A 15,027-nucleotide genomic window follows, 5' to 3' on the forward strand; every position below is an offset into this window, starting at 1 on the left:
TAAGTGTAGAGTTTTGTGATATTTTACACGTTTGTATCTGTAACCACAACTCAGACCAAGACATGAAATACCCTAAAAATAGACATAAAGCACCCCAGAAAGATCCTCTATACCCACTTTCCAGTCTCTATCCCCCAAGAATAACCACCATTTTTGTCTTGATCATGATAGATTAATTTTATCTGGTTTTAAACTTCATACAGTATGTATTTTTTTCGGTCTGGCTAACACTCCATGTTGTGGTGTATATCAATAGTTTATTCCTTTCTATTGCTAATATTCCATTGTATGGATATACTCTGATTTATTCATTTTCCTTTGATGGGCATTTGGGTTGTTTACAGGTTTAGGCTATTACAAATAAAGTGAGCAGTAACTCTTTGTCTACTGTGATGATGCCCTTTACTTTTTTATTTTTATTTATTTTATTTTATTTTTGAGACAGAGTCTCGCTCTGTCACCCAGGCTGGAGTGCAGTGGCGCTATCTCGGCTCACTGCAAACTTCACCTCTCAGGTTCACGCCATTCTTCTGCCTCAGCCTCCCGAGTAGCTGGGACTACAGGTGCCCGCCACCATGCCTGGCTAATTTTTTTTTTTTTTTTTTGGTATTTTTAGTAGAGACGGGGTTTCACCGTGTTAGCCAGCATGGTCTCGATCTCCTGACCTCACGTGATCCACCTGTCTAGGCCTCCCAAAGTGCTGGGATTACAGGCGTGAGCCACTGCGCCCGGCCGATGCCCTTTACTTTTTGAAGCTCTTTTTAGGGCTTACACTCAACACCTGCCAAAGACCTTCTTTACTCAAAATTCAATTTTTTATCATTATCTAGCCTGGTCCTTCAGTTGCTGGTATTTCCTGAGTGGCTACATGTACACTAACTTAATTAAAATGGGGCTTGAAGACATTTCTTCTTATGGCTGCCTTTTTTTTTCTTTAGCTGTGTGGATATCCCACTCATGCCCTCTCTCCCCAGCCACTATCCAAACCAGCAAATTTGTTAGGCAGTTTAACTGCATGACAAGAGAGACTGCAGAATCTAGTTAATGGGGAGCTGACATTATATCAGTAACTCATTCTCCTTTAAGATTTTCTTGTTTTTAATCTTGTTAATATTGGTTCCAGGGGAGTTATTGTCTAATAAAGAAGCTCAGAGTTACACTAAAAGTCCCATATATATACTTTTGTATTCCTATGGCTATAGACATCAGTATTTTAAAAAAATATTTGAATAGTAGTTTCTTTTTCTCACTAAGAACATCTAGACATAAAATAAACTCAGGTTTCTGGCTTGAGAATGACTGTTTTCCAACAGCAAATCCCTCAGCTAATAGAGTAGGCTCTCTCAGCTTATAAAAGTCCAGAACATGACTCAGGAAGAGCTCTTTAAAAACAAAATAGACTTTCTCAGTTATTGACATTCTCTTATGATTTCTAGTTCTTGGTTTCCAGTGCCTTCTGGACTACTCAAGATCTGTTAGTTTCCTGATGTGGGCAGAACCAGTACTAGTTTGGCATCCTTATTTGACAGTTCTTCACCTTTTAAAGCTGTATCTCTCTTAGAAACTCATGTATATATTTGGCGGGGTGGGGGGAATGAAAATACTTTTTACCAGCAGTTGCTTGACCCCTTATTTTCACATGGAAAAGAATATTTCCATCTTTTTAAAAAACATCCCTTTCTGCTGGGTGTGGTGACTCACGCCTATAATCCCAGCACTTTGGGAGGTCGAGGCAGGCAGATCACTTGAGTCCAGGAGTTTGAGACCAGCCTGGGCAACATGGCAAAACCCCATCTCTACTACAAATACAAAAAATTAGCCAGGTGTGGTGGTGCATGCCTGTAGTCCCAGATATTCAGGGGGCTGAGGCGGCAGGATCACTTGAGCCTGGGAGGTCGAGGCTGCAGTGAGCCCTGATCCTGCCACTGCACTCTAGCCTGGGTGACAGAGTGAGACCCTGATTCAAAAAGGAAAACAGAAAAAGCATCCCTTTTTTGATGGGGTTGTTTGTTTTTTTCTTGTAAATTTGGTTGAGTTCATTGTAGATTCTGGATATTAGCCCTTTGTCAGATGAGTAGGTTGTGAAAATTTTCTCCCATTTTGTAGGTTGCCTGTTCACTCATGAACAGACACTTCTCAAAAGAAGACATTTATGCAGCCAAAAAACACATGAAAAAATGCTCATCATCACTGGCCATCAGAGAAATGCAAATCAAAACCACGATGAGATACCATCTCACACCAGTTAGAATGGCAATCATTAAAAAAGTCAGGAAACAACAGGTGCTGGAGAGGATGTGGAGAAATAGGAACACTTTTACACTGTTGGTGGGACTGTAAACTAGTTCAACCATTGTGGAAGTCAGTGTGGCGATTCCTCAGGGATCTAGAAGTAGAAATACCATTTGACCCAGCCATCCCATTACTGGGTATATACCCAAAGGACTATAAATCTTGCTGCTATAAAGACACATGCACACGTATGTTTATTGCGGCATTATTCACAATAGCAAAGACTTGGAACCAACCCAAATGTCCAACAATGATAGACTGGATTAAGAAAATGTGGCACATATACACCATGGAATACTATGCAGCCATAAAAAATGATGAGTTCATGTCCTTTGTAGGGACATGGATGAAATTGGAAATCATCATTCTCAGTAAACTATCGCAAGAACAAAAAACCAAACACCGCATATTCTCACTCATAGGTGGGAATTGAACAATGAGATCACATGGACACAGGAAGGGGAATATCACACTCTGGGGACTGTGGTGGGGTAGGGGGAGGGGGGAGGGATAGCATTGGGAGATATACCTAATGCTAGATGACGAGTTGGTGGGTGCAGCGCACCAGCATGGCACATGTATACATCTGTAACTAACCTGCACAATGTGCACATGTACCCTAAAACTTAAAGTATAATAAAAAAAAAAAGGAAAAAAAAAAAGCATCCCTTTCTTTTCAGCACTCTCCCAAAGACTTAATTTCACTTTGAAGCTACTTTGGCTGAGGGAGTAGGGTAAGCTCATGATAGTTATGTGGTTTTAAAGACTTTTGTTTTAAAATGTCATCCTCCTCCTTTCTACTTACATTCTGCAGTCTCTTCATTACACGGATGTGCTGTTTTTCAACAATATCATGGTTCCTTTGTAAATCAAATGGAAAGACTTGTCACTCCCTCTGTTTTTTATCCTTAGTTGATTAAATGAAACAACAAGGCATGTAGCACCATCTCTTAACATAATAGATACTCGATTTAGTTACTTTCAGTAGCTTTCTTTGGTTCCTAAGTAAAAGTGTCCATTACGGTAACCTTGGCTGGGCGCAGTGGCTCATGCCTGTAATCCCAGTACTTTGGGAGGCCAAGGCAGGAGGATCACTTGAGGCCAGGAGTTCAAGACCAGCCTGAGGTAACATAGCAAGACCTGGTCTCTACAAAAAAAATAATAATAATTTTTAATTTTGTGGGTACATATTAGGTGTATATATTTACGGGATGCATGAGATTTTGATACAGGCATGTAATGCCTAATAATGACATCATGAAACATGGGGTATTCATCCCCTTCAAGCATTTATCCTTTTTGTGTTACAAACAATCCAGTTATGTTCTTGTAGTTATTTTTATATGTACAGTTAAGTTATTTTGACTATAGTCACCCTGTTGTGCCATCAAATAGTAGGTCTTATTCATTCTTTCTGACTATCCTTTTTGTACCCATTAATTATCGTCACCCTCCTCCTGCCCTGTTCCCCCCACTACCCTTCCCACCCTCTGGTAACCATCCTCCTACAGTCTATCTCCTTGAGTTCAGTTGTTTTTATTTTTAGATCCCACAAATAAATGAGAACATGCAATGTGTGTCTTTCTGTGCCTGGCTTATTTCACTTGACGTAATGACCTCCAGTTCTGTCCACGTTGTTGGAAATGACAGGATTTCGTTCTTTTATATGGTTGAATAGTACTCCATTGTATATATGTACCACATTTTCTTTATCCATTCGTCTGTTGATGGACACTTAGCTTATTTCCAAATCTTGACTATCGTGAACATTGCTGCAAAAAATATGGGAGTGCAGATACCTCTTTGATATACCGTTTTCCTTTCTTTTGGGTATATACCCAACAGTGGGATTGCTGGATAATATGGTAGCTCTATTTTTTGTGTTTTTTTTAGAATCCTCCAAACTATTCTCCATAGTGGTTGTACTAATTTACATTCCCACCAACAGTGTATAAACATTTCCTTTTCTCCACAGTGTTTGAGGGTTCCCTTTTCTCCACTCCTCACCAGCATTTGTTATTGCCTGTCATTTAGATAAAAGCCAAAAATATTTTTTTTTAATTAGCCAGGTGTGGTAGAGGCTGTGGTGGGAGGATCACTTGAACCCAGCAGTTCAAGGCTGTAGTAAGCCATGATTGCACCACTGAACTCTAGCCTGAGTGACAGAGGGAGACCTTGTCTCTAAAAAAAAAAAAAAAAAAGAAGAAAGAAAGAAAGAAAAGTAAAAGGTAATCATGCCTAGTCTATACTCCTGCTCTCTCATCCCATATGTGAATTATTTACATTACTGGAAATGAGTGAAGGACTGAGCAGTGGAAATAAGTTTTGTTTATTCTTGATTCCATATTAACCTTAAGAGATGTGACTTACCTCATTGTTTTGATGTTCTTAGCTTTATGTAACATCGTTTATGGTTTGTGAAAGGTACTTCTGGGATGCCTTGGTACTTCTGCCTTATGGTGGTATTTTATTTGTAGGTCAGCATTGCTTGTCCTGAGAGGATGGAACCGATCACGAAGATCTCCCACATCCCACCCAGTCGGTGGGCCTTAGTCTGCAACTTGTGCAAGTTGAAGACGGGGGCTTGTATTCAGGTAAGTCCCCATGAGAAGTGGTAGAGTGGGCTAACACCAAATTAGCTGGACTCACCCTCCCAGTGAGAGTGTCCTGTCGACTGAAAGGTCACTCAGGAGATCGCCCACCCACTCTTAGGGCTCTGCCATTGTACGGACCATTTCTGGAAATCCCTTTTTTGGATATTGCCTCTGGACCATTCAGCTTATTCTTTTCAATATTCGTAGTGATAGTTTATCTTCATCCTTTGCTGTCAGAGCTGATGAATTAAGTGAGTTCTAAAGCTAGTTGATACCATCCTGGGTGGAAATCGGCTATAATTCTGAAACAACCAGGCCCATGTTCTTTTTTTTTTTTTTAATTTCAACTTTTATTTTCAATTTTGGGGTTACATGTGCACATTTGTTACATGGGTATATTGTGTAATGCTGAGGTTTGAAATACATTTGGTTGTATCACCCATATAGTGAGCATAGTAAGTACCCAATAGGTAGTTTTTTAACCCTTGTACTCTCCCTCCTCCCTCTAGTAATCCCCACTGTCTATTTTTCCTGTCTTTATGTCTGTGTATACCCACTGTTTAGCTCCCGTTTGTAAGTGAGAACATGTGGTATTTGGTTTTCTGTTTCTGAATTAATTTGCTTAGAATAATGGCCTCCAGCTGCACCCATGTTGCTGCAAAGGACATGATTTCTTTTTTTGTTTTTTCTGTCTTTCCAACTTTTATTTTCTGTTCAAGGGTACATGTCCAGGTTTGTTACATGGGTAAATTGTGTGTTGCAGAGGTTTGGTGTACAGATAATTTTCTCACCCAGGTAATCAGCATAATACCCAACAGGTAGTTTTTCAATCCTAACCCTCAAGTAGGCCCCAATGTCTGTTGTTCCCTTCTTTGTGTCCATGCCTACTCAATGTTTAGCTCCACTTATAAGTGAGAACATGCAGTATATGGTTTTCTGCAATTAGGGGAGACGTGGATGGGATTGGGAAGGGCCAGTTACCTCCAGCAAAGGCACAAAGGTTGCTTTCTCTTTCCATGTTATTTCTCCTTCTATCCCAAATGTAATAAGATGGCTCTTCTGGCTAGAGGGATGGAAGGGCTGACCTTTCACCTCTCAGACCTCCTACATGTGAACTGCAAGCTGGTTGGAGTTATATTTGCCTGCCGACCTTCTTTGGTGAAGAGGGGACATTGCACAGTGCAGGGGTCCGCAACCTGCCACAGACAGGTACTGGTCCATGGCCTGTTAGGAACCGGGCCGCACAGCAGGAGATAAGTGGTGAGCAAGTGAGCATTACCACTTGAACTCCGCCTCCTGTCAGATCAGCAGTGGCATTAGATTCTCATAGGAGTGTGAACCGTGTTGTGAACTGCGCATGCGAGGGATCTAGGTTGAGCACTCCTTATGAGAATGTAATGCCTGATGATCTGTCACCGTCTCCCATCACCCCCAGATGGGATCGTCTAGTTGCAGGAAAACAAGCTCAGGGCTCCCACTGATTCTACATTATGGTGAGTTGTATAGTTATTTCATTATATATTACAATGTAATAATAATAGAAATAAAGTGTACAATAAATGTAATGTGCTTGAATCATCCCAAAACCATCTCCCTCCAGTCCATGGAAAAATTATCTTTCACAAAACTGGTCCCTGGTGCCAAAAAGGCTGGGGACCACTGGCTTTAGGGATAATGACTCTAGGTGCTTTGTGACATTTCTTGCTGTCTGGCATGATAATATTTTCCAGGCTTATCGTGTAGATTTCTTGCTCTAGACCTGGGATTAGCTATTCTTCCAAGGAACCCAGGGTCTTTTACTGGGAAGTTGTAATTGAAGAACACAATCTGGACCCCCAAAGGCCCTTTTAATTTTTTGAATTCATTCTTATATTTGACAGAATTGGCTACTTCTTCTTTTTTTTAACCTTTCTTGGATGATTTTATTTATTTTAACTATGGCACTTTAAAAATCATAAAGGAAAAATATTTAAAGGAAAACTCTTTCCATGGAGACTACTACCCTAGGACATTGCCTGTGTGTTTATCTAAGCTCTCTCCTGGTTGCTGCCCATGTGTGAGTCCCTTGAGGGCCAAGATTGTGCATCATTTTTCTGTGAATTTCCCTGGCACAAAGTAGAGAGCCTGCCCATTGTTAGTACTTAATTATGGTTTATCAAATAAATACATTCATGTTTTATTGTACCATGGATTCATTTGTGATATGCATTTCCCCCTCTAAAAATAATATATTTTTCATTTTTCAGTTATTGGTCATTTTATAGTAGCACATTGGATTTATATCCAGTAACTTATTTTCTTTATTGTGGTCACTGTAGTTTCCCCCATTTTTGCTTTTGTTGTGGGACAGGGTCTCACTCTGTCACCTAGGCTGGAGTGCAGTGACACAATCATAGCTCACTGCAGCCTTGAACTCCCGGGCTCAAATGATCCTCCCGAGTAGCTGATACCACAGGTACACGCCACTACACCTGGCTCATTTAAAAAATTTTTTTTTTGTAGAGACAGGATTTCGCTGTGTTGTCCAGGCTGGTCTCGAACTCCTGGCCTCAAGTGAGCCTCCTGCCTTGGCCTTCCAATCCAAAGTGCTGGGATTACAGGCATGAGCACTGTGCTCTTTTTTTTTTTTGGTCCGAGTCTCTCCTTGTTGCCCAGGCTTGAGTGCAATGGCGCAATCTCAGCTCACTGCAACCTCTGCCTCCTGGGTTCAAGTGATTCCCCTGCCTCAGCCTCCCAAGTAGCTGGGATTACAGGCACACACCACCACACCCAGCTAATTTTTTGTATCTTTAGTAGAGATGAGATTTCACCATGTTGGCCAGGCTGGTCTCGAACCTCAGGTGATCCACTCGCCTTGGCCTCCCAAAGTGCTGGGATTACAGGCATGAGCCACCACACCTGGCCTTTTTTTTTCTTTTCTTTCTTTTTTTCTTTTTTTTTTAAAGAGAGACAGAGCCTTGCTTTGTCACTTAGGCTGGAGTGCAGTGGTGAGATCATAGCTCACTATAACCTTGAACTTCTGAGCTCAAGCAATCCTTCCACCTCAGTCTCCCAAGTAGCTAGGTCTGTAGGCACATGCCACCATGGCTGGCTAATTTTTTTGTTTTGTAGAGATAGGGTCTTGCTGTGTTGCCCAGGCTTATTTTTTTCTACAATAATTAGTAATTGGCAATAAGACTTTGGTGAGAGAAAATATTGGCCTTGACCTTAACAGACCTGGATTTGTATTACAGCCCTGATGTACCACATTCTGCCACTATTATGGTTATTTATCTATGAGTTTTATCTGCCCTAGTAGACTGTAAACTTAGACTTTCATCCTTAGATCCCCTATACCCGAATCTAGTAGACAGACAATTAATAGATTGATGGATGGATGATGGATGAACAGTTTGAGAGATGAAACATTCTGGTGTAAGTTTCTCATTTGCAGAGCAATGATTCTTACTTTCATTACTTGAGTTCAGCTTCTTTATTTTATAAAGGTCTTACCAAATTGAGACTCTTACAATTTTGATTATAAGGAATTTCATTACAGAGACTCCTCTGCATGAGGAAAGGGGAGGAAACGTAGAAAGGACTTTGTCATACAGCTTGGGTGCCAGCTCAGCCACAGTAGAAGAAAGCATCAGATAAGATTCCTAAGGTTCTTGACTCCAGGCCTTGGGTCCCAGATAGTATCTCTGGACCCACCCAAGGCCAGGAGGAATTCGCCACCCTGAAAGGAAGGACACAAGCCTTGCTGGATTTGCCACCTACTGATTGTAGAGCCCTTGGGATGTGAACGAACATAGGTAGTAGCCAGGCAGTGATCACTGCAGGCCTTGGGCGAGACCCAATGCTGTGCTGGCTTTAGATCTGACTGGGTGCAGTCCCAGTGGTGGTGGCCATAGGGGTGCTTGTATTAGCCCTCCTCCATCTCCAGGCAACTCAGCACAGAGAGAGACTTCATTTGTTTAGAGGGAAGTAAGGGAGAAGAACAAGAATCTCTGCCTGTTAATCCAGGGAGTTCTTCCAGATATTACCCAGTAACACCAACGTAGTATATCTACAAGTCTGCAAGAGCCATGGCATTACTAGGCTTGCAGTGCCTCCTAAAGCAGATATGGCCGTAGTGACCAAAGACTTAGATCACAACACCCAAGTCCCTCTGAATACCTGGAAAGTCTTCCGAAGAAGGATGGATACAAACAAGCCCAGACTGCAAAGACTACAATAAATGCTGACTCTTCAATGCCCAGACACTGATGAACATCCACAAGCATCAAGACCATCCAGGAAAACATGACCTCACAAAATGAACTAAATAAGGCAACAGTGATTAATCCTGGAGAGACAGATATATAACCTTTCAGATGGAAAATTCAATGTAGCTATTTTGAGGAAGCTCAGCAAAATCCAAGATAACACAGAGAAGGAATTCAGAATCCCATCAGGTAAATTTAACAAAGACATTGAAGTAATGGAAAAGAGGCTGGGTGCAGTGGCTCACGCCTGTAATCCCAGCACTTTGGGAGGCCAAGGCGGGTGGATCGCAAGGTCAGGAGATTGAGACCATCCTGGCTAACATGGTGAAACCCCGTCTCTACTAAAAATACAAAAAATTAGCCAGGTGTGGTGGTGGGCGCCTGTAGTCCCAGCTACCCGGGAGGCTGAGGCAGGAGAATAGTGTGAACCTGGGAGGCGGAGCTTGCAGTGAGCCAAGATCATGCCACTGCACTCCAGCCTGGGCGACAGAGTGAGACTCTGTTTCAAAAAAAAAAAAAAAAGAAAGAAATAATGGAAAAGAATCAAGCAGAAATTCTGGAGCTGAAAAATGCAATTGACAGACTGAAGAATACATCAGAGTCTCTTAACAGCAGACTTAAGCAGAAGAATTAGTGAGCCTGAAGACAAGCTATTTGAAAATGCACAATGAGAGGTGACAAAAGGAAAAAGAATGAAGCATGCCTACAAGATGTAGAAAATAGCCTCAGAAGGGCAAATCTAAGAATGACTGGCCTTAAAGAGGAGGTAGAGAGAGAGATCAGAGTAGAAAGTTTATTCAAAGGGATAATAACAGAGAACTTCCCAAATGTAGAGAAATGTATATCAATATTCAAGTACAAGAAGATTATAAAACATCAAGCATATTTAACTGAAATAAGACTACCTCAAGACATGTAATAATCAAACTCCCAAAGGTCAAGGATAAAGAAAGGACCCTAAAAACAGCAAGAGAAAAGAAACAAATAACATACAATGGAGCTCCAATACATCTAGCAGCAGACTTTTCATTGGAAACCTTACAGGCCAGGAGAGAGTGGCATGACATATTAAAAGTTTTGAAGGAGAAAAACTTTTATCCTAGAATAGTATATCCAGTGAAAATATCATTCAAACGTGAAGGAGAAATAAGGACTTTCCCAAATAAACAAAAGCTGAGGGATTTCATCAACACCAGGCCTGTCCTACAAAAAATGTTAAAGGGAGTTCTTCAGTCTTGAAAGAAAAGGATGTTAATGGCAATAAGAAATCATCTGAAGGTGCAAAACTCACTGGTAATAGTACACAGAAAAACATGGAATATTATAATATTGTAATTGTGGTATGAAAACTCCTATCTTGAATAGAAAGACTAAAAGATTAGCCAGTCAAAAATAATAATTACAACAACTTTTGAAGACATGGACAGTATAATAAGATGTAAGTAGAAACAGCAAAAAGTTAAGGGGATGAAGTTGAAGTGTAGAGTTTTTGTTTTCTCCTTGCTTCTTTGTTAATTTGTTTATGCAATCAGTGTTAAGTTGTCATCAGTTTAAAATAATGGGTTATAAGATATTATCCGCAAGGCCCATGGTAAACCTCAAATCAAAAACATACAACAGATACACACAAAAATAAAAAGCAAGAAGTTAAGACATACCACCTGAGAATATCACCTTCACTAAAAGGAAGACAAGAACAAAAGAAGGAAGGAAGAAAAGACCACAAGACAACCAGAAAACAAATAAAATGGCAGGAATAAGTCCTTACTTATCAATAACATTGAATGTAAATGGACAAAACTCTCCAAAAGACACAGAGTGGCTGAATCAATACAAAAAACAAGGCCCAATGATCTGTTGCTTACAGGAAACATGCTTCACTATACATACACATATAGGCTGAAAATAAAGGGATGGAAAAATATATTCCATGCAAATGGAAATCAAAAAGCAGGAGTAGCTATACTTAATAGAAAAAAACTATAAAAGGAGACAAAAAGATCATTATATAATGATAAAGGATTCAGTTCAGCAAGAAGATAGAACAGTTGTAAATATATATACACCCAATTCTGGAGCAACCAGAAATATAAAGCAAATATTATTAGAGTTAAAGAGATAGACCTCAATAAAATAATAGCTAGAGACTTTAATACCTTGCTTTCAGCATTGGACAAATCATCCAGATAAAAAATGAAGTATCAGACTTAATCTGTACTGTAGACCAAATCAACCAAGTAGATATTTACAGAACATTTCATCCAACAGCTGCAGAATATACATTCTTCTCCTCAGCACATGGAGTATTCTCAAGGATAGACCATGTGTCAGGTGCCAAAACAAGTCTTAAAATAATTTTTAAAAATTGAAATCATCAATTATCTTCTCTGGCCACAGTGGAATAAAACTAGAAATCAATAACGAAGAATTTTGGAAACTATACAAACACTTAGAAATTAAACAACATGCTCCTGAACGACCAGTAGGTCAATGAAGGAATTAAGAAGAAAATTTAAAACTGTCTTGAAACAAAAAAAAAAAAATGGGAACACAACATACCAAAACCTATGGGATATAGCAAAAGCAGTACTAAGAGGAAAGTTTATAACAATAAGCATGTATATCAAAAAAGTAGAAAAACTTCAACCTTATGATGCATCTTAAAGAACTAGAAAAACGAGCAAACAAAACCCTAAATTAGTAGAAGAAAGGAAATATAAAGATCAGAGCAGAAATAAGTGAAGTTGAAATGGAAAAAAAAGATCAACAAAACAAAAAGTTGGTTTTTTGAAAAGATAAAATCACCAAACCTTTAGCCCAACTCACTGAGAAAAAAAAAGAGAGAAACCCCAAATAAATAAAATCAGAGATGAAAAAGGAGACATTGCTACTGATACTGCAGAAATTCAAAGGATCATTAGAGGCTGCTATGAGCAACTATATATGCCAACAAACTGGAAAACCTAGAAGAAGTGAACAGATTCCTAGACACATACAACCTACCAAGATTGAACCATGATGAAATTTAAAATCTGAACGGACCAGTAACAGATGGTGAGATTGAAGTCGTTATAAAAAGTTTCCCTTCAAAGAAAATCCTGGGACCCAGTGGCTTCTCTACTGAATTTTACAAAACATTTAAAGAAGAACTAGTACCAGTGTTACTCAAACTATTCCAAAAAATAGAAGAGAAGGGAATACTTTTAAACTCATTCTACAAAGCCAGTATTACCCTGATACCAAAATCAGACAAAGACACATCAAAAAAAGAAAACTACAGGCCAGTATTCTGGATGAACATTGATGCAGAAATCCTCAACAAAGTACTGGAACACCAAATTTAACAATACTTTGAAAAGATCATTCACCATGACCAGTTTATTGAGGGTTTTTATCATGAAGGATGTTGAATTTTATCAAATGCTTTTTCAGCATCAGTTGAAACGATCATACGGTTTTTGTCCCTCATGCTGAAGATACGATTTTTCACACTGCTTGATTTGCATATGTTGAGCCATCCTTGCATCCCTAGGATAAATCCCACTTGGTCATGATGAATGATTGTTTTAAAATAACTAAAAGGGTATAATTGGATTGTTTGTAACATAAAGGATAAATGCTTGAGGTGTGGGATAGAAATTGAATAACATAGAGTGGCTAGAATAAAAATCTTGAAAAAGAACACCAGAGACTGATTTAGGAATTAAGGCATATCATTCCTCTTTGAAGAAACTTTGGGTTGGATGCAGTGGCTCATACCTAAAATCCCAGTGCTTTGGGAGCCCGAGGCAAGAGGATTGTTTAAAGCCAGAAGTTCAAGATAAGCCTGGGCACGGAAACTCTTCTTATAAATGTGGATTTGTAAAAGGTAGCATTTTTCCTCTAGTGAAAGCATTTGAAAAAGTATTTTTCTTCTACAATTCCTGAAGAATATGTAGAAAATTGTTTTTCCAGCTGGGCACGGTTGCTCATGCCTGTAATCCCAGCACTTCGGGAGGCCAAGGTGAGCAGATCACCTGAGGCCAGGAGTTCAAGACCAGCCTGACCAACTTGATGAAACTCCGTCTCTACTAAAAATACAAAAAGTAGTTGGGCATGGTGGCATGTGCCTGTAATCCCAGCTACTTGGGAGGCTGAGACAGGAGAATCGCTTGAACCCAGGAGAGGCAGAGGTTGCGGTGAGCCGAGATCGCACCATTGCACTCCAGCCTGGGCAACAAGAGCGAAACTCCATTACAAAAAAAAAAAAAAAGTAAATAAACCACAGTGAGATACCATTTCATACCTACTAGGGTGGCAGTAATAAGAAAGGCAAACAATCAAGGATGTGGGAAAATTGGAACCCTCATGCATTGTTGGTGGAAGTAAAAACGATGCAGCTGCTGTGAAAAAAGTTTGGCAGCTCCTCAAAATGTTAAACATAGAGTTACCTTATAAACCAGTAATTCTACTCCTAAGTATATACTGCAGTTTAAGAGATCACCAAGACCATTCTCAGGTTCAGTAATTCACTAGAAGGACTCACAGAACTCAGAAGAACAGTTATACTCACAGTTATAGTTTATTATAGTGAAAAGATACAGATTTAAAATTAGCCAAGGATAGAGGCACATAAGGCATGGTCCAGGAGAGACCTGGAATGCAGCTTCCAGTTACCCCTGCCAGTGGAGTGGTGCAGATAGTGCTTATTTCTCCCAGCAGCAATGTATAATACACATAGAGTATTGCTAGCCAGGAAAGCTCACCCTTGGTGTTCAGCGATTTTATTGAGAGTTGGCCACGTAGGCATTGCTCACCATCCACGTGGCTGATGTTACTCTCCAGTCCCTCCAGAGGTCAGGCTGATAGAAGGTGCCCCAAAGTCTCTACCATAAATCACATCGTTAGCATAGACTATCTCACTTGGCCCAAGGACCCAAGGTAAACAAAGACACTCTTATCAGGCAGGACATTCCAGGGGCTTAAAGGTTACTTCTAAGGAGCTAAAGACAAACAGCCAAACTTTTTTTTTAGACAAGGTTATCCTTTACCGCACAATACCCAAGAGAAACAAAAACATATATCCACACAAAAACTGCTGCATGAATTTTCATAGCACCATTATTTCATAACAGACAAAAAGTTAAAACAACCCAAATGTCCATCAACTCGATGAAATGGGGTATATCCATACAATTATTTTTTGCCCATAAAAAGGAATGAAGTTCTAATACATGCTACAACATAGAGGAACCTGAAGAACATGCTAAGTGAAAGAAGCCAGACTCACACAGCCACATATTGTTGTAATTCCACTTATATGAAATGTCCAGAATAGGCACATCAATAGAGACAGAAAGTAGATTAGTAGTTGCTTGGGGCTGGAGTTGGTAACAGGGAGTAACTACAAATGGACACAAGATTTGGGGTTGGTGGTGATGAAAATATCCTGGGATTAGGTAGTGGCAATGGTTGCATGACTGTAAATATATTGAAAACCATTGAAATGTACACATTAAACTGGTGAACTTTATGGTATATAAAATATATCTTAATAAAGCTATTTCTGTCATTTCAGTGAATGAATATAATGACCATGCTGTAATGCACGTAGTAAAGTGTTTAAAGACACATGTATAAAAGATGCTTTGTACAAGTGCTATTTGCTTGCCACAATGAGAACAGTGCTATCTCAATTTTTTATTTTAAATTTGTAAAGATAAAAATATTTTTTAAATGGGCATAATAAAACCTCTCTATCACCTTCCGTGGTTACAGTGGAAATAAGTGAGATGTATGCAAAGGCATTTTGTTTAATAGAATGCGCCAGACATATGTTTTAGAAGAAAACAAATAGGTATCTGGTATCTGACTGGCACCTTTCTTCTTCTTTTTTTTTTTTTTTTTTTTCCCTG

The 15,027-nt window shown here is 39.6% G+C and overlaps 1 protein-coding gene across 2 annotated transcripts in view, besides 1 other annotated feature; it reads left to right on the forward strand.

The window, feature by feature from the left end:
- JADE3 (jade family PHD finger 3) overlaps positions 1-15,027 on the forward strand; it is a 148,942-nt gene that overhangs the window by 121,879 nt on the left and 12,036 nt on the right. For both annotated transcript variants that reach the window (NM_001077445.3, NM_014735.5), the window contains exon 8: positions 4,770-4,886. In NM_001077445.3, the coding sequence (NP_001070913.1) occupies positions 4,770-4,886 (117 nt within the window). The remainder of the gene's footprint in view (positions 1-4,769; positions 4,887-15,027) is intronic.
- Positions 13,828-14,122: an enhancer, noted in NCBI's record as "tiled region #7060; HepG2 Activating non-DNase unmatched - State 7:EnhWF, and K562 Activating DNase unmatched - State 5:Enh". NCBI's record gives its function as "activates a minimal TATA promoter and a strong SV40 promoter by Sharpr-MPRA in HepG2 and K562 cells {active_cell/tissue: HepG2 | K562}" and the evidence as "EXISTENCE:reporter gene assay evidence [ECO:0000049][PMID:27701403]".

The sequence above is a fragment of the Homo sapiens genome, chromosome X (genome assembly GCF_000001405.40).
Source record: "Homo sapiens chromosome X, GRCh38.p14 Primary Assembly".
Classification (NCBI taxonomy): Eukaryota; Metazoa; Chordata; class Mammalia; order Primates; family Hominidae; genus Homo; species Homo sapiens.